We start from the raw sequence: 17,096 nt of genomic DNA on the forward strand, positions 1-17,096 counted from the left end.
GATATACTTCATATGCAAGCCATATGGGACTGGCTTTAGGATAAATGACATATTCACTCACTTAATATTGCCAAGAACCCTTTAATGGGAACCCCAGCCCCCTAAAATAACTATATTGCTGCAAAAGGGAAAGACAATTCGGGAAGCCTTATCAAATGTACTGTCTCAGATTCCCCTCACGAGTCTTTCAGATGCTAATAAAAACACTACGTTAGCCATTGTTTCGGACAAAGCTCCTGCACTAGGCCCCAAAAGACCAGACTAAAAACTAAAATGGGCCGGGCAAGGTGGCTAACGTCTGTAATCCCATCACTTTGGGAGGCTGAGGCTGGCGGATCACCTGAGGTTAGCCGGGCATGGTGGCGGACACCTGTAGTCCCAGCTACTCGGGAAGCTGAGACAGGAGAATTGCTTGAACCCGGGAGGTGGAGGTTGCAGTGAGCCGACACTGCGCCACTGCACTCCATCCTGGGCAACAAAAGTGAGACTCTGTCTCAAAAAAAAAAAAAAGGAAAAAACTAAAATAGAATTACTCATGCTAAAATTATATGTTAAGAAACCAAGCTGTTTACCTGACCTTCTGAGAAATCAGAAGAATGAGAGATAATAGCCAAATTCCAAAACAGGCCAGTTTTATGTAACATGATGATGAAGTTCCCTCTGTGTGTGTTTTTTGTTTTTTTTTTTTTTTAGACAGAGCCTCGCTCTGTTGCCCAGGCTGGAGTGCAGTGGCGCGATCTCAGCTCACTGGAACCCCTTCCTCCCAAATTCAAGCTATTCTCGTGCCTCAGCCTCCTGAGTAGCTGGGGCTACAGGCACGTGCCACCATGCCCAGCTAATTTTTTGTATTTTTAGTAAAGACAGGGTTTCACCATGTTGGCTAGGCTGGTCTTGAACTCCTGACCTCGTGATCCACCCACTTCGGCCTCCCAAAGTGCCGGGATTACAGGCGTGAGCCACCACACCCAGCCCCACAACTCCTTAGCTTAACATGGAGACTCCCTTCTATTGATTTCTGGTCTTTAGATAAACTCTCAAACTCTTTTAACCAATGGCAAATCAGAGACTCTTTGAAGTCCATTTATGACCTAGACTTGGAAACACCCGCCACTTGAAGATGTCCTGCCTTTCCAGACCAAACCAATGTACATCTTACATGTATTGATTGATGTCTTCTGTCTCCCTAAAATGTATAAAACCAGTCTGTAGGCCGGACGCGGTGGCTCACGCCTGTAATCCCAGCACTTTGGGAGGCCGAGGTGGGCGGATCACGAGGTCAGGAGATCGAGATCACCCTGGTTAACACGGTGAAACCCTGTCTCTACTAAAAAAATACAAAAAATTAGCCGGGCATTGTGGTGGGCGCCTGTAGTCCCAGCTACTCGGGAGGCTGAGGAAGGAGAATGGCATGAACCCAGGAGGCAGAGCTTGCAGTGAGCTGAGATTGAGCCACTGCACTCTAGCCTGGGCGACAGAGCGAGACTCCATCTCCAAACAAACAAACAAACAAACAAACAAACAAAAAAACCAGTCTGTGGCCTGACCACTGTAAAAACTAAAGGTTCCTCTTCAAAGACTTTCCTCCCCATTTAATTAGGAATAAATAGTAACTTCTCTTAGAAGCAAAATTTATTCAAAGACCTGTGCTAACATTCTTAAATATCTGCTAGCCATGATAAAGAAATCAATGTACTTTATGTTTTTAGCTTCCAAGGTGTTTTTACCTTTCTTAGCATTCCACAAGTTACTTTCTCCTTCCTTTGTTCTCCTCTACCTTTGCCTCTTTTAAAAAGTTCTAAGTTGCTAGCCAATCAGGACAAATACAGAATGTGAGGTCCCGTTCCAGCCAGTGGAAACCAGACACAGCAGTAGGGTGGATGTGTCAGGTTATAAATGACCCTGTCTCCTTTGTTCAGTGTACTCTCGTGGCAAAACTGCTGGTGAGTGTACCCTTTCTGCAGGAAGTAAAAATGGCCTTACTAAGGAAATTATATTTATGTTCAAGTGCTATTTCTTTACGGCACTGGGAAACAAGCATTTCAAATGCCACCTTGGGCACATGTTCTCAGGATCTCCTGGGGCTCTGTCATGGCCCATGGTCACTCATATTTGGCTCTGAATAAATCTCTTCAAATATTTTACTGAGTTTGACTCTTTTCTTTGACAGTACCCTTAAGATTTGTTTATTTCTTTTTCTTTTTCTTTTTTTTCTTTTTTGAGATGGAGTATCACTCTTGTCGTCCAGGTTGGAGTGCAGTGGTGCGATCTCGGCTCACTGCAACCTCCACCTCCCGGGTTCAAGCAAGTCTCCTGCCTCAGCCTCCCAAGTAGCTGGGAACACAGGCACACACCACCATGCCCAGCAAATTTTTGTATTTTTAGTAGAGATGGGATTTCACCATGTTGGCCAGGCTGGTCTCGAAATCCTGACCTCGGGTGATCCACCCACCTCGGCCTCCCAAAGTGCTGGGATTACAGGCATGAGCCACCGCGCGTGGCCTTTTTTTTTTTTTTTTTTTTTTTTTTTTTTTTTTTTTTTTCAAGATGGAGTTTTGCTCTTGTTGCCCAGGCTGGAATGCAATGGTGCGATCTCAGCTCATTGCAACCTCTGCCTCCTAGGTTCAAGCGATTCTCCTGCCTCAGCCTCCATAGTAGCTGAGATTACAGGCATGCGCCACCACATCTGGCTAGTTTTGTATTTTTAGTAGAGATGAGGTTTCACCATGTTGGTCTGGCTGGTCTCAAACTCCTGGCCTCAAGTGATCCACCTGTGGGATATGATGAGGTTTCTCTTCAGATAACCTGATCAATCATTTATTCTTTAATTCATAGTACCCCCCACCCTTTTTTTTCTCCTTTTTCTCCTTTTTTCCTTTTTGCCTTTGTTAGATGCCCAGGCACGCCGCCACAGTACCAGGCGTTATCAGTACCAGCTCACATTCCTTTCCTTATTTGGAAAGAGGACTAACTTTGTAGCTCATTACAGACACCCCTTACCCTTCCTCTCCACTTTCTTTTACGTGCCCACCCTATCTAAAAAAAATCAAATGTTTAGCCAACCGGGATTAGTTTAAATTGTATGACCCGGCCCCGGCCAATGGGGAAAGGGTACAGGGGCAGAACTTGTGTCAGGAATAAAGGCTCTCATGCTCCTTTGTTCAGGTGTGCTCTCATGGCAACTGGCCAAGGAGGCACCCCTCTGCACAGAAACAAAATTGCTTTGCTAAGGATCCTTTGTTCAAGTGTTCAATTTCCTTAGGATTTTGAGCGTTATTCCTAACGCACCTGCCTCGGCCTCCCAAAGTGCTGGGGTTACAGGCACGAGCCACTGCGCCTGGCCTATTTTTTATTTGTTTATTTATTTTTGAGACAGAGTTTCACCCTGTTGCCCAAGCCAGAGTGCAGTGTCAAGATCTTGGCTCACTACAACCTCCGCCTCCCCGGTTCAAGCGATTCTTCTGCCTCAGCCTCCTGAGTAGCTGGAATTACAGGCATGCCACCGTGCCCAGCTAATTTTTTTATTTTTAACTTTTTTTAGTAGAGACGGGGGTTTCACCACGTTGGCCAGGCTGGTCTCAAACTCCTGACCTCAGGTGATCCACTGGCCTTGATCTCCAAAAATGCTGGGATTACAGGCATGAGCCACTGCGCCCGGCCAAGATTTGATTATTTCATTGTGTAGAGACTAACTGGCCATGTTGTCTTCTGATTAACCCCTGTTCTGGGAAGCAATGCATTTTTGATATGTACATTATGTAATCCCAGCACTTTAGGAGGCTAAGACAGGAGGACCCCTTGAGTCTATGAGTTTGAAACCAGCCTGGGTAACATAGTGAGATCTCGTCTCCACAAAAAATTAAAAAATTAGACAGGCATGCCCCTGTTAGTCCTAGCTACTTGGGAGGCTGAGATGAGAGAACTGCTTGAGCCCAGGAGGTTGAGGCTGCAGTGAGCCAAAATCGTGCCACTGCACTCCAGCCTGGGTGACAGAGCCAGACCCTGTCTCAAATAAATAAGTAAATAGGCCAGGTGCAGTGGCTCACGCCTGTAATCCCAACACTTTGTGAAGCCGAGGTAGGCAGATGACCCACGGCCGGGAGTTGAGGCCATCCTGGCCAACATGGTGAAACCCCATCTCTACTAAAAATACAAAGATTAGCTGGCGGGGGTGGTGCACGCTGGTAATCCCAGCTACTCAGGAGGCTGAGGCATGAAAATCTCTTGAACCCTAGAGGCGGAGGTTGCAGTGAGCCGAAATCACACCACTGCACTCTAACCTGGGCAACAGAGTGAGACTCTGTCTCAAACAATAAACACATAAATAACAATAAGCAAGTATGATAAAGTGTTAATAGGCCGGGCACAGTGGCTCATGCCTGTAATCCCAGCACTTTGGGAGGCTGAGGCGGGTGGATCACGAGGTCGGGAGATGGAGACCATCCTAGCTAACACAGTGAAACCCTGTCTCTACTAAAAAAAATACAAAAAAAATTAGCGGGGCGTGGTGGCGGGCGCCTGTAGTCCCAGCTACTTGGGAGGCTGAGGCAAGAGAATGGCGTGAACTCGGGAGACGGAGCTTGCAGTGAGCTGAGATCATGGCACTACACTCCAGCCTGGGCGATGGAGCGAGACTCCGTCTCAAAAAAACAAAAAAAAAGGGTCGATAGTAAAAACAAAGTGCCAGAGATATGGGTGTTAACTTTAAAATTCCTTCAACTTTGCTGTGTATTTGAAATGTTTCTTTATAAAATGTTGAGAAGACATTCACGCACAATGCTGTATAGTTCAAATTGGACTTTGATGTGTGGTACATAGAGAAATAACCAGTTCGGCTGGGTGCGGTGGCTCACACCTATAATCTCAGCACTTTGAGAGGCCAAGGCAGGTGGATCACTTGAGGTCAGGAGTTTGAGACCAGCCTGGCCAACATGGCAAACCCCATCCCTACTAAAAATACAAAAATTAGCTGGGCATGGCACGCACGTGTAATCCCAGCTACTCGGGAGGCTAAGGCAGGAAAATCACTTGAACCTGGCAGGCAGAGGTTGTAGTGAGTCGAGATCGCGCCACTGCACTCCAGCCTAGGCGACAGAGCGAGACTCTGTCTCAAAAAAAAAAGAGAGAGAAATAACAAGTCTGCTGAGGGAGCACAGAAGAGAACATGATCATTTCTGCTGGGACAGGTGGCAGTGAGGGTTAAAGAGAATCTTATAGCAGAGGAGTCCAAGGAACTGGGCCTGAAAGACAAGCTTTTAAAGGCAGAGGAAGAAAGAAAGTGGAAAAAGGGCATTTCATTAGATAAAAACCAGGGCAACATGAGAATGCAAGGCCCATTTGGGAAGCTGCAAATCAGCAGAGACTCTGGGGGGCAGAGCAGCAGGGGAGGAAGCTGACAAGCTGAACTGCGTCCAGGCCGGGACGGCGTGAAAGACAGACAGGAGCATCTAGTTTTGACTCAGTCAACAATGGGGACCAGGTGCAGTGGCTCACGCCTGTAATCTCAACACTTTGGGAGGCCGAGGCGGGTGGATCACTTGAAGCCAGGAGTTTGAGACTGGCCTGGCCAATCTGGCAAAACCTCATCTCTACTAAAAATACAAAAATTAGCCAGGCATGGTGTTGTGTGCCTGTAGTCCCAGCTGCTTGGGCGGGTGAGGCACAAGAATCCCTTGAACCTGGGAGGCAGAGGTTGCAGTGAGCCGAGATCGCACCACTGCACTGCAGCCTGGGCAACAGAGTAAAACTCTGTCTCAAAAAAAAAAAAAAAAAGAAGAAAAAAAAAAAAGCCAATAGGGACCAAATACAATGGCTCACGCCTGTAATCCCAGCACGTTAGGAGGCTGAGGTGGGAGGATTGCTTGAGCCCAGGAATTAGAGACCAGCCTGGGCAACATAGCAAGACCCTGTCTTTATTTCTTTCTTTCTTTTTTTTTTTTTAAAAGACAGAAAGAAAGAAAAGGAAAGAAACAACAATAGGGAGCCGCCAAGCAGGGTGTGTGTGTGAGATGGGTGGAGGCTTGCTCTGGAAGGGCTCATCTGACAGAGCAGAGGAGACGGGGAGAGAGCCAGTTGTAGGGAGGAACAGCAAGGCTGTTCGTCAAGGTTTTCTATTGTTTTCATTAGCAAAATGACAATCAGTGCAACTTTTGTGACAGAAAAATGGTTACGACGGCCTGGTGCAGTGGCTTGTGCCTGTAATCCCAGCAATTTGGGTGGCCGAGGCGGGAAAATCACCTGAGGTCAGGAGTTCATGACCAGCCTCGCCAACATGGTGAAACCCCGTCTCTACTAAAAATACAAAAATTTGCTGGGCATGGTGGTACACGCTTGTAATCCCAGATACTGAGGAGGCTGAGGCAGGAGAATCCCTTGAACCCGGGAGGCAGAGGTTGCAGTGAGCCAAGATCATGCCATTGCACTCCAGCCTGGGCAACAAGAGTGAGACTCCATCCCCCTGCCAAAAGAAAAAGAAAAAGAAAAATGGTTATGACATGACCTTCCCAGAGGCAGGGCAGCAAGATAATTCAGTTTTCAGTTTGTCCCAATTCCCAGTTTTCTGGGAACTCTGACCTCCCTAAAGACTTTCTGTTTCTGTTTGAAGCTCTAGGCTGTCCGTGGACCTTCCTTCTGGCCCTCAGCCACCACCCAAAGGATGCAACTCCAGAATGAACACACTAGGAGTCAGGAAACTTGGTTTCTAGCCCTGCTTTTGCCACTTTCCCTATCTGTGCCCCAGGCTCCTCATTTGTAAATTGGTTGTGTTGTTATGATTGTTTTCCAGGCTTCCTTCCAGTTTCAAAGTTTTGTTTTTTTTTTTGAGACAGGGTCTCACTCTGTCACCTAGGCTGGAATGCAGTGGCACAATCACAGCTCACTGCAGCCTTGACCTCCTGAGCTAAAGCAATCCTCCCACCTCAGCCTCCCAAGTAGCTGGGACCATAGCCGTGCACCACCACAAATGGCTAATTTATTTTATTTTATTTTTTTACTTTTGTAGAGATGGAGTCTCTCTGTGTTGCCCTGGCTGGTCTTAAACTTCTGGGCTCAAGTGATCCTCCCTCTTCGGCCTCCCAAAATGCTGGAATTATAGGCGTGAGCCACTGCTTCTGGTCTCAAGACTTCTTTAATCTGGTCTTCTTGCAACCGGCCTTCTAGGTCCTCTCTCAAATGTTCATTTACCCCTTGACTTGCAGTGTCTTTGTGATCTTGGAGACCCTCCTCTGTTCTATCCATCTGCCTGTCTTACCTCCTTCCTCCCCTGTCAAGAGTGTCACTGCAGTGTCTAGATCCAGCTCCTGGCTGGGACATGAAAGAGCCCTGCTGACAGGTAAAGGCCTCTGAGCCTTAGGGGGTGAGCTTGTGAAAGAAGTGACAGTTCCCACTTCCCTGGGTTGTGATAAAGAACAACAGACTGCCTTGTGGAATCACCCAGCCTGGGGTCTGAGCACCAGGCACTCAGCTCACCTCTACACCTTCCCTTTCTCTGAGCCTTATTGAGTTCTAGGGAAAATTCAAAGGTTTTTTTTCCCCTTTTAATTGCATGTATTTTAATGCTGAATTTACTTCCATGCCATAAGTTTTTGTTTCTTCAGTTTCTTCTGGGATATCTTTTTCTTCTGGGCAACCTCCTCTTCTGGTTTAGGAACAATCTGTTCCTTTTCAGTAAGGACCATCTTGATGTGGCAGGGAGAGCTCATGTATAGGTTAATCCGACCATGAGCTCTGTAGGTCCGGCAGCGCATCTTAGATGCTTTGTTCACTTGGATATCCTCAAATGACCAGAGAATCTACATCGAAACCTTTAAATTCAGCATTACTCTCTGCATTTTTAAGCATGTGCAGCAAAAATTCAGCACTCTTTTTGGGACACCAATTTTGTGTCCAGCCCCACTGCTTGGCCTGGGTACACCTGCCAACTCTACCGTTGTAATGTCGGAATGGTACGCACTGTTTCTGTAAAGTGACATCTTTCAGATACTTCGTGGCTTTTCGTACATGCATATCCATGATGGCCTGGGCAGTTTCACGAGTGTTCTTAAAGTGAACACGAAGATTGGAACCTCTTGATTTGCATGATTTTGCGGGGTTCTCTGGGTCAAGTGAATAGTGAACCATTTTCACAGATTACCTCAGGCTGCTTAGGGAAAGAGGAAGAGCAATGGCTTCTGGGAGAACTCATGAGAACTTCGTATTGAAAGTTTTACACACATCACCCCCTTGAGTTCTCACAATGAGGTTGGAATTTGTTCTCCTTTGACAGATAAGGAACTGAAGGCTCAGAGGAGCTACACAACTTGCCCAAGGTCACAGAGGGAGATCCAAGAAATTCACAACCAAGCCATGAAAAGGAATAGTTACTCAGTATCCTATGCACCCAGCACTGACTTTTTTTATTATTATTATTTTTTGTTGAGACATAGTCTCGCTCTGTTACCCAGGCCACAGTGCAATGGCACGATCTGGGCTCACTGCAACCTCCACCTCCCGAGTTCAAGCAATTCTTCTGCCTCAGCCTCCCAAATAGCTGGGATTATAGGCGCGTGTCAACACGCCCAGCTAATTTTTGTATTTTTAGCAGAGATGGGGTTTCACCATGTTGGCCAGGCTGGTCTCGAACTCCTGACCTCAGGTGATCCGCCTTCCTTGGCCTCCCAAAGTACTGGAATTACAGGTGTGAGCCACCGCGGCCAGCCCCAGCACTGACTTTTAAAAATGCTCAGTGGCACCAGGCGCGGTGGCTCACGCCTGTAATCCCAGCACTTTGGGAGGCCGAGGCAGGCGGATCACCTGAGGTCGGGAGTTCGAGACCACCCTGACCAACATGGAGAAAACTCGTCTCTACTAAAAATACAAAATTAGCTGGGTGTGGTGCCTGTAATCCCAGCTACTCAGGAGGCTGAGGCGGGAGAATCGCTTGAACCCAGGAGGCAGAGGTTGCGGTGAGCCAGAGATTGTGCCATTGCACTCCAGCCTGGGCAACAAGAGCGAAACTCCGTCTCAAAAAAACAAAACAAAACAAAACAAAATGCTCAGTGGCTCACACCTGTAATCCCAGTACTTTGAGAGAACGAGGTGGGAGGACCGCTTGATCGCAGGAGTTTGAGACAAGCCTGGGCAATATGATGAAACCCTGTCTCTACAAAAAATACAAAAATTTACTGGGCATGGTGACATGCACCTGTGGTCCCAGCTACATGGGAGGCTAAAGCAAGAGGATCGCCTGAGACCAGAAGTTTGAGGCTGCAGTGAGCTGTGATCGTACCACTGCACTCAGTCTGGGTGACAGAACAAGACTGTCTCAAAAAATAAAATAATAAAATAAAATAATATATAAATATACACCATGATCCCCACTGCTAGACTCCACACAGGCCCTGAAGAGCTGATAGAGCAGAGTAAAACACACTGCTACTGGGGGGAGCCTGTCCAGGGGGTGCTGGTGCACAGATGGGGAGGCGAGGGCAATGGGGTGGGTTGTGCTCAGCAGCCTGGGACAGCAAGAGAGAAAGAGGTGGCATTTGCTGCTTCTTAGGGAACAGTAGGAGTTCCCAGACTCCCTCATTCACTGAGAACATCCTGATATTTCACCTGGGGGCGAATTGTTGCTGGTGGCGGGACAAGGCAGAGGAGGGCCTTCCAGGCTCCCTCAAAAACATGGAGTCAAGAAGCTGAGGCATATATCTTTCCTGTTCTCCCGGGGGAACGCACTCTCCTCCCCCTCCAGCCTGCACAGCATTGCATTCATTTTCCTCTTGTTTTTGTGTGTGTGTGTGTGATTTTTTTTTTTTTTTTTTTTTTGGAGACTGAATCTCACTTTGTCACCCAGGCTGGAGTGCAGTGATCTCGGCTCACTGCAACCTCCACCTCCCAGTTCAAGCAACTCTCATGCCTCAGCCTCCTGAGTAGCTAGGATTACAGGTGCGTGCCACCATGCCTGGCTAATTTTTTTGTATTTTTTTAGTAGAGATGGGGTTTCACCATGTTGGACAGGCTGGTCTGGAACTCCTGATCTCAAGTGATCTGCCTGCCTCGGCCTTCCAAAGTGCTGGGATTACAGGCGTGAGCCACTGCACCCTGCCTCATTTTTATCTTTCAGCATTTAGCTTCTCTGTTAATATTACGGTCATGTCATTCATATGTTCATTTGCAGAATGTACATTTCTTTTCTTTCTTTCTTTCTTTTTTTTTTTTTTTTTTTGAGACAGGGCCTCACTCCTCACTCCAGTCTCCCAGGCTAGAGTGCAGTGGCATGATCACAGCTTTACTGCAGCCTTGACCTCCCGAACTCAAGCAGTCCTCCTGCCTTAGCTTCCCAAGTAGCTGGGACTACAGGCACACACCACCATCCCAAGCTAATTTTAAAAATTTTTTGTAGAGACAAGGTTTCCCCATGTTGCTCACGCTGGTTTCAAACTCCTGAGCTTGAGCAATCCTGTTGAAATTACAGGCGTGAGCCACCGCACCTGGCATACATTTCTTGAATGCTAACTATGCACACGACACTCTGTATGCTAGTTGTGTGAGGCACACAGATATGAATAAGGCATCCTAACCCCCGATGGCCACTAAGAGGGAGCTACATATATAAATAATCATAATACAAGGAAGAAGATGTTAAGTGGTCCAACTAAGATTAAGATAAAGCATTATAAAAGTTCAGAGATGAGAAAAATAATTTACAAAGGGCAGTCGGAAAAGATTTCATGGAGGAGGCAACATCTGTGTTCACTATTGAAGGAGAAAGGACAATTTTTAAATGTAAGGAATAGCTGTGTGCAGTGGCTCACGCCTGTAATCCCAGCACTTTGGGAGGCCAAGGTGGGTAGATCACCTGAGGTCAGGAGTTCGAGACCAACCTGGCCAACATGGTGAAACCCCATCTTTACTAAAAATACAAAAATTAGCCAGATGTGGTGGTGCACGCTTGTAATCCCAGCTATTTGGGAGGCTGAGGCATAAGAATCACTTGAACCTGGGAGACAGAGGTTGCAGTGAGCTGAGATAGCACCACTATACTCCAACCTGGGCAACAGAGTGAGACTCTGTCTCAAAAAAAAAAAAAAAAGTTAATGGACAAGCTGAGATGGGCTTTCTGGTTAGAGGGCACAGTGTGAGCCAAAGTAGGCTCTGCAAACGTTTGGATTATGTGACTCTTTTTTTTTTTTTTTTTTTTTTTTTTTTAGACGGAGTCTGGCTCTGTCACCCAGGCTGGAATGCAGTGGCGCAATCTCGGCTCACTGCAAGCTCCGCCTCCGGGGTTCACACCATTCTCCTGCCTCAGCCTCCCGAGTAGCTGGGACTACAGGCGCCTGCCACTACGCCCAGCTAATTTTTTATATTTTTAGTAGAGACGGGGTTTCACCGTGTTAGCCAGGATGGTCTCGATCTCCTGACCTCGTGATCCACCCGCCTCGGCCTCCCAAAGTGCTGGGATTACAGGCGTGAGCCACCGTGCCCAGCCTGATTATGTGACTCTTTAAACTTGTGAGGCCATGTTGGTATAGCTGGCTCACTACTACCTCCCCAGCATCTGGCCTGGCCTGGCCTGGCCTGGCATACACAAGGCACTCAGTAAAAATGTGTTGCTTTTTTTTTTTTTTTTTTCTGAGACAGAGTTTTACTCTTGTTGCCCAAGCTGGGGTGCAATGGCATGATCTCGGCTCACTGCAACCTCTGCCTCCCGGGTTCAAGCGATTCTCCTGCCTCAGCCTCCTGAGTAGCTGGGATTACAGGCATGCGCCACCACGCCCAGCTATTTTTTTGTATTTTTAGTAGAAATGGGGTTTCTCCATGTTAGCCAACTGGTCTTGAACCCCTGACGTCAGGTAATCTGCCCACCTCAGCCTCCCAAAGTGCTGGGATTACAGGCATGAGCCACCGCACCGGGCCTAAAATTTGTTGCTTTGGTCAGTGGTTCAGTTTGGCTGGAGTGTAGGGAGCTTGGAGAGGGACAATGGGCAGAAGGAAAATCTTAGTTATTCATTGCCTCACAACAAATTACCTCAAATCTTCGCGGCTTACTACAACAATAAACATTGATTATCTCTCACAGTTTCTGCAGATCAGGAATTTGGGAATGGCTTGGCTGGGCGGTTCTGGCTTGAAATCTCAAGAATTTCAATCGCATTTGGATAGGGCTGCATCATCTGAGGGCTTGGCTGAGGCCAGGGGATTCCCTTTCAAGGTCGCTTACTCACAGGGCTGGCAAGTTGATGCTGGCTTTGGCAGGAGATCCCGCTTCTTCACCAGGTGGGCTCCTCCACAGGGCTGCTTCAGGGTCCTTATGATGTGGAGATTGACTTCCTCTAGAGTGAGTGGTGGGCATGGAGGCATGCACCTGCGGTCCCAGCTACATGGGAGGCTGAAGCATGTAGTGAGTGATCCAAGAGTCAGGATGTAGGAGGGAGCTGTAACCTCTTCACAGCCAAGCCTTTGAAGTCACTTCTATAGCATCACTTCTGCTACATTCTGTGCACTAGAAGCGAGTCATTTAAGTCTGACCCACTTTCAAGGGAAAGGGAATCAGCCTCCACCTTGGAAAGGGGAAATAGCAGAGAATTTGCAGGCATATTTTAAATCACCACAGACCATGAGGGCAAGAAGGTTTATCTGCTCAGAACTCAGGGGCTCTTCAGCTGAGTGGGACTCCAAGGGATCCAGCTTTCTGTGGGGATCCAGCAGTCCTGCCCTAGTGCCATGTATCCAAGGGACTGTGGGCTTCTGGCAGCAAAACCAAGAACCAAGGCAAGACCCAGTGCTGCCTGCTGTTGAGAAATCTGAAGTGGCTCAGACCAGGGCAGGGGGTGCTCACTGTCTGGCAAGCACATAGCAAGAGGACATGAGCCCTTTTCCCCCAAGAGAGTCAGGGAAGGCCTCCTGGGGGTGGCATCTGAGCTGCATTATTTCAGAGCTTTTATTAGGCCCATAGTGTGGGGCTGGGTGTATACACAGAAGGTTAAATGCGCCTGGTATGGTGCTCAGCAGGCATCAGAAGCCACGCAGGAGAGCTGAGGCCTGGGGAGACCCCCCACTGACCATAGCAGCAGATACTGTCTCTGCCCTGCAGATGGTGAGACCTTTCTAATGCCACTTGGTGTTGGCATACAGCTTTTCAGATGGGTGTGGACTGTCCCACAAGAACTCTGTGAGCTCTGTGGGGCGGCTAAAGTGCGCTGGAGATTGTACATGTAAACTTTGTTTGCTCATTTCCCCATTCAAATGTCCTTCAACATTGTTGGGGTCTTCTCCCACTTTCTGCCCCTACTTCTCTGAATGTGCTTACCCTATATGGGCCTGTTTACCTCTCTGCTTCTTCTTTTTTTTTTTTTTTTGAGATGGAGTTTCGCTCTCGTTGCCCAGGCTGGAGTGCAATGGTGCGATTCGGCTCACCACAACCTCAGCCTCCCAGGTTCAAGCAATTGTCCTGCCTCAGCCTCCTGAGTAGCTGGGATTACAGGTGCACACCACCACGCCCAGCTGATTTTTTGTATTTTAGTAAAAACAGGATTTCTCCATGTTGGTCAGGTTGGTCTCAAACTCCCGACCTCAGGTGATCCGCCTGCCTTGGCCTCCCAAAGTGCTGGCATTACAGGTGTGAGCCACTGCGCCCGACCCTTTTTTTTTTTTTTAAATGGACTTTCACTCTTGTTGCCCAGGTGGGAGTGCAATGGTGCGATCTTGGCTCACTGCAACCTCCGCGTCCTTGGTTCAAGCGATTCTTCTGCCTCAGCCTCCCAAGTAGCTGGGATTACAGGTGTTTGCCACCATGCACCTGGCCATTGAACTTTCTTTATCTAGGTACTACACATCTCCCCAGAACCAGAGAACAGCAATGATGTCAGTGGGAAATCCCAGGCAATTGGCACTAATGTCTACGGTGTAAACACCTACAGAGTGTAGTGGTTAAAATTAATGTATATGTAGTTAAGGCTGGGCAAGGTGGCTCACGCCTATAATCCTAGCACTTTGGGGGGCTGAGGTGGGAGGATCACCTGAGGTCAGGAGTTTGAGACCAGGCTGGCCAACATGGTGAAACCCCGTCTCTACTAAAAATACAAAAATTAGCCAGGATTGGTAGTGCATGCCTGTAATCCCACCTACTTGGGAGGCTGAGGCAGGAAAACCGCTTAAACCTGGGAGGTGGAGGTTGCAGTGAGCTGAGATCGCACCACTGCACTCCAGCCTGGGTGATACAGTGAGACTCCATCTCAAAAAAAAAAAAATTAATATATATGTAGTTAAAATTAATTGAGTTGTATACATATTACCTTTCACTGTATATAAATTATTCCTTTATTAAGCAAAGCAAATAATATTAGTAACCCTGTACCTGATGCTCATCATAAGAGAGACCCACACGTGTGCTAAGTAAATGAATCAAATCACATTACCCAACAGACCTCATCCTGTCTAAGACTCAGTAGGGGGTAGGGTTTCAAAGAAGTAAAGAGTGGCACTTTTTGAAGTGCCAGCTTGTCTTTCTGGAGTCCCTCAGTGTTAGCGTTTAAATGCAAGCATTAAGCCCTCTCAATACTTTTTGTTCACTTCTCTAAAATTTTGGTAGGCTGGGCATGGTGGCTCACACCTGTAATCCCAGCGCTATGGGAGGCACAGATGGGAAGATCACTGAAGGCCAGGAGTTTGAGACCAAACGAGGTCCCATCTTTAAGGAAACAAAAATTTTTTTTTTAATTAGCCAGGATTGGTGGCATGCACATGTAGCCCCAGCTACTGGGGAGGCTGAGGCAGGAGGATCACTTGAGACCAGGAGTTCGAGGCTACAGGGAGCCATGATTGTACCACTGCACTCCAGACTGGGTGATAGAGCAAGACCCTGTCTCAAAAAAAAAAAAAAGATAAGTAGGCCTGGAACAGTGGCTCACACCTGTAATCCCAGCACTTTGGGGGGCTGAGGCAGGCCAATTCCATGAATCCAGGAGTTCAGGACCAGCCTGGGCAACATAGCAAGACCCCTTGGCCGGGCATGGTGGCTCACGCCTATAATCCTAATACTTTGGGAGACTGAGGTGGGCGGATCACCTGAGCTCAAGAATTCAAGACCAGCCTGGCCAACATGTGAAACCCCATCTCTACTAAAAATACAAAAATTAGCCAGACTTGGTGGTGGGCACCTGTAATCCCAGCTGCTCAGGAGGCTGAGGCAGGAGAATCGCTTGAACCTGGGAGGTGGAGGTTGCAGTGAGCCAAGATTGCGCCATTGCACTCCAGCGTGGGCAACAAGAGTGAAACTCCATCTCAAAAAAACAAAAAAACAAACAAACAAAAAATCATAGCAAGACCTCATCTCAAAAAAAAAAAAAGGGAGAGAGAAGGCCTATGGCCTTTGGTCAGCACCCTTTCTTGGCCTGGAACGTCCAGCACAAGGGGCAAGTGGGTCAGAAGAGATGAGCTCAGGGCTGGGTGCGGTGGCTCGTGCCTGTACTCTCACCACTTTGGGAGGCTGAGGCAGGCAGATCACCTGAGGCCAGGAGTTTGAGAACAGCCTGGCCAGTGTAGTGAAACCCAGTGTCTACTGAAAATACAAAACTTACCTGGGCTTGGTGGCGCATGCCTGTAATCCCAGCTACTTGGGAGGCTGAGGCAGGAGAATGACTTGAACCTGGGAGGTGGAGGTTGCAGTGAGCCGAGATCCCGCCACTGCACTCTAGCCTGTGTGACTCTGTCTCAAAAAAAAGAAAAAAAGAAAAAAAGAAGAGACGAACTCAGGGCACATGAGACCATAGCTAGGAGCACACATCTACCTTCTGCATTACAACAGGCTACTCCCCTCCCTGTCCAAACAATCTGGGTGAAAGCCACCTCCAAGCATTTCTCCTGGCATGCATCACCACCCCAGAACCTGCCCAGAGATCAGCACTGATGTCAGTGGGGAATCCCAAGCAATCAGCAGAGGGGTGTGCAGCCTGATTTCTCTCTCTGGGGCACCCAGGTGAGAAAAACCCTGCCCAGGGGTATGTTTAACTGGTTTATATATGGAAGTTCCTGGCTCAGAGAACTTGGCTGAGAAGCCACAAGGCACCATGCAGCAGCCAGGTTATATACCTGCCCATACCCAAGACCCATATTTGTGCTCAGCGACCTTCCTTAGAAATAGGAGACAGAAGGCTGGGCGCAGTGGCTCATGCCTGTAATCCTAGCACTTTGGGAGGCCAAGGCAGGCAGATCACCTGAGGTCAGGAGTTCGAGACCAGGCCGGCCAACATGGTGAAACCCCGACTCTACTAAAAATACAAAAATTAGCCAGGCGTGGTGGCAGATGCCTGTAATCTGAGCTACTTGGGAGGCTGAGGCAGGAGAATGGCTTGAACCCCGGAGGCAGAGGTTGCAGTGAGCTGAGATCGTGCCACTGCACTCCAACCTGGATGACAAAATGAGACTCCTTCTCAAAAAAAAAAAAAGTATTACCCAAAGTCATGCTGTACTGGGTTCCAGTCATGGTTCCTTCACTGATGAGCTGCAAGGCCTTCAGGTGATGTATGATGGTACCAGAACCCAATGTGCCCTTGATAAGTGGAATCAGGATCGATCATCATCATCATATTTTAGTTCTATTGGAGGGGGACATAAGTTGGCCATGACAGACTGTGGGTTTTGTCACCTACAATACGCAAAGAAACATGGAAAAGAAAATAGTGGACAGAACAGATTGCTGAGAGGCGGAGCATGGCCCTTGGAGGCAGGTCACACACAATCACCTAGCCCTGTTCTCAGCAGGAAGAATCCATTCTCGCTCAGGTCACTTGCTCAAGCTGGGGACTAGCTTGCCCAATTTAGATGGGAAAGTCATTGGAGAGGACCTTGTTCAGCCAATGAACAAGAGAAATGCCCACACTTTCTTCCAAGATAGAATCCAAGGGGGCTGCACCTAACATGATTCCTCTAAGGCTCCTCCTGGACTCCTGGCCACTGTGGCTGTTGTTCATATCATCAGGAATGAAGCCTGAGCAAGTAATTTGAGGCCAGGGCATCTGGTTGTAAGCACTGGCTTTGTCACTTACTAATGGGTGATCTTGAGCAAGTTGGTTAAGCTCTATAAACCCCAAGTTGCTCATCTATAAATAAAACAGTCATAAACC

The 17,096-nt window shown here is 47.9% G+C and overlaps 1 pseudogene, besides 5 other annotated features; it reads right to left on the bottom strand.

Annotated features, from left to right (window-relative positions):
• Nucleotides 293-794: an enhancer, noted in NCBI's record as "H3K4me1 hESC enhancer chr3:48154883-48155384 (GRCh37/hg19 assembly coordinates)". NCBI's record gives its function as "activates a minimal SCP1, AML or CMV promoter by ChIP-STARR-seq in naive H9 embryonic stem cells {active_cell/tissue: H9 hESC(naive)}" and the evidence as "EXISTENCE:reporter gene assay evidence [ECO:0000049][PMID:30033119]".
• Nucleotides 795-1,294: an enhancer, noted in NCBI's record as "H3K4me1 hESC enhancer chr3:48155385-48155884 (GRCh37/hg19 assembly coordinates)". NCBI's record gives its function as "activates a minimal SCP1, AML or CMV promoter by ChIP-STARR-seq in naive H9 embryonic stem cells {active_cell/tissue: H9 hESC(naive)}" and the evidence as "EXISTENCE:reporter gene assay evidence [ECO:0000049][PMID:30033119]".
• Nucleotides 2,923-3,854: an enhancer, noted in NCBI's record as "H3K27ac hESC enhancer chr3:48157513-48158444 (GRCh37/hg19 assembly coordinates)". NCBI's record gives its function as "activates a minimal SCP1, AML or CMV promoter by ChIP-STARR-seq in naive H9 embryonic stem cells {active_cell/tissue: H9 hESC(naive)}" and the evidence as "EXISTENCE:reporter gene assay evidence [ECO:0000049][PMID:30033119]".
• Nucleotides 5,507-6,007: an enhancer, noted in NCBI's record as "H3K4me1 hESC enhancer chr3:48160097-48160597 (GRCh37/hg19 assembly coordinates)". NCBI's record gives its function as "activates a minimal SCP1, AML or CMV promoter by ChIP-STARR-seq in primed H9 embryonic stem cells {active_cell/tissue: H9 hESC(primed)}" and the evidence as "EXISTENCE:reporter gene assay evidence [ECO:0000049][PMID:30033119]".
• Nucleotides 7,520-8,136, bottom strand: RPL17P16 (ribosomal protein L17 pseudogene 16; annotated as a pseudogene).
• Nucleotides 10,298-10,481: a silencer, noted in NCBI's record as "fragment chr3:48164888-48165071 (GRCh37/hg19 assembly coordinates)". NCBI's record gives its function as "represses an EF-1alpha promoter that drives an FKBP-Casp9 reporter gene in an ReSE screen in HepG2 liver carcinoma cells {active_cell/tissue: HepG2}" and the evidence as "EXISTENCE:reporter gene assay evidence [ECO:0000049][PMID:32094911]".

Source organism: Homo sapiens, chromosome 3 (assembly GCF_000001405.40).
Source record: "Homo sapiens chromosome 3, GRCh38.p14 Primary Assembly".
Taxonomy (NCBI): domain Eukaryota; kingdom Metazoa; phylum Chordata; class Mammalia; order Primates; family Hominidae; genus Homo; species Homo sapiens.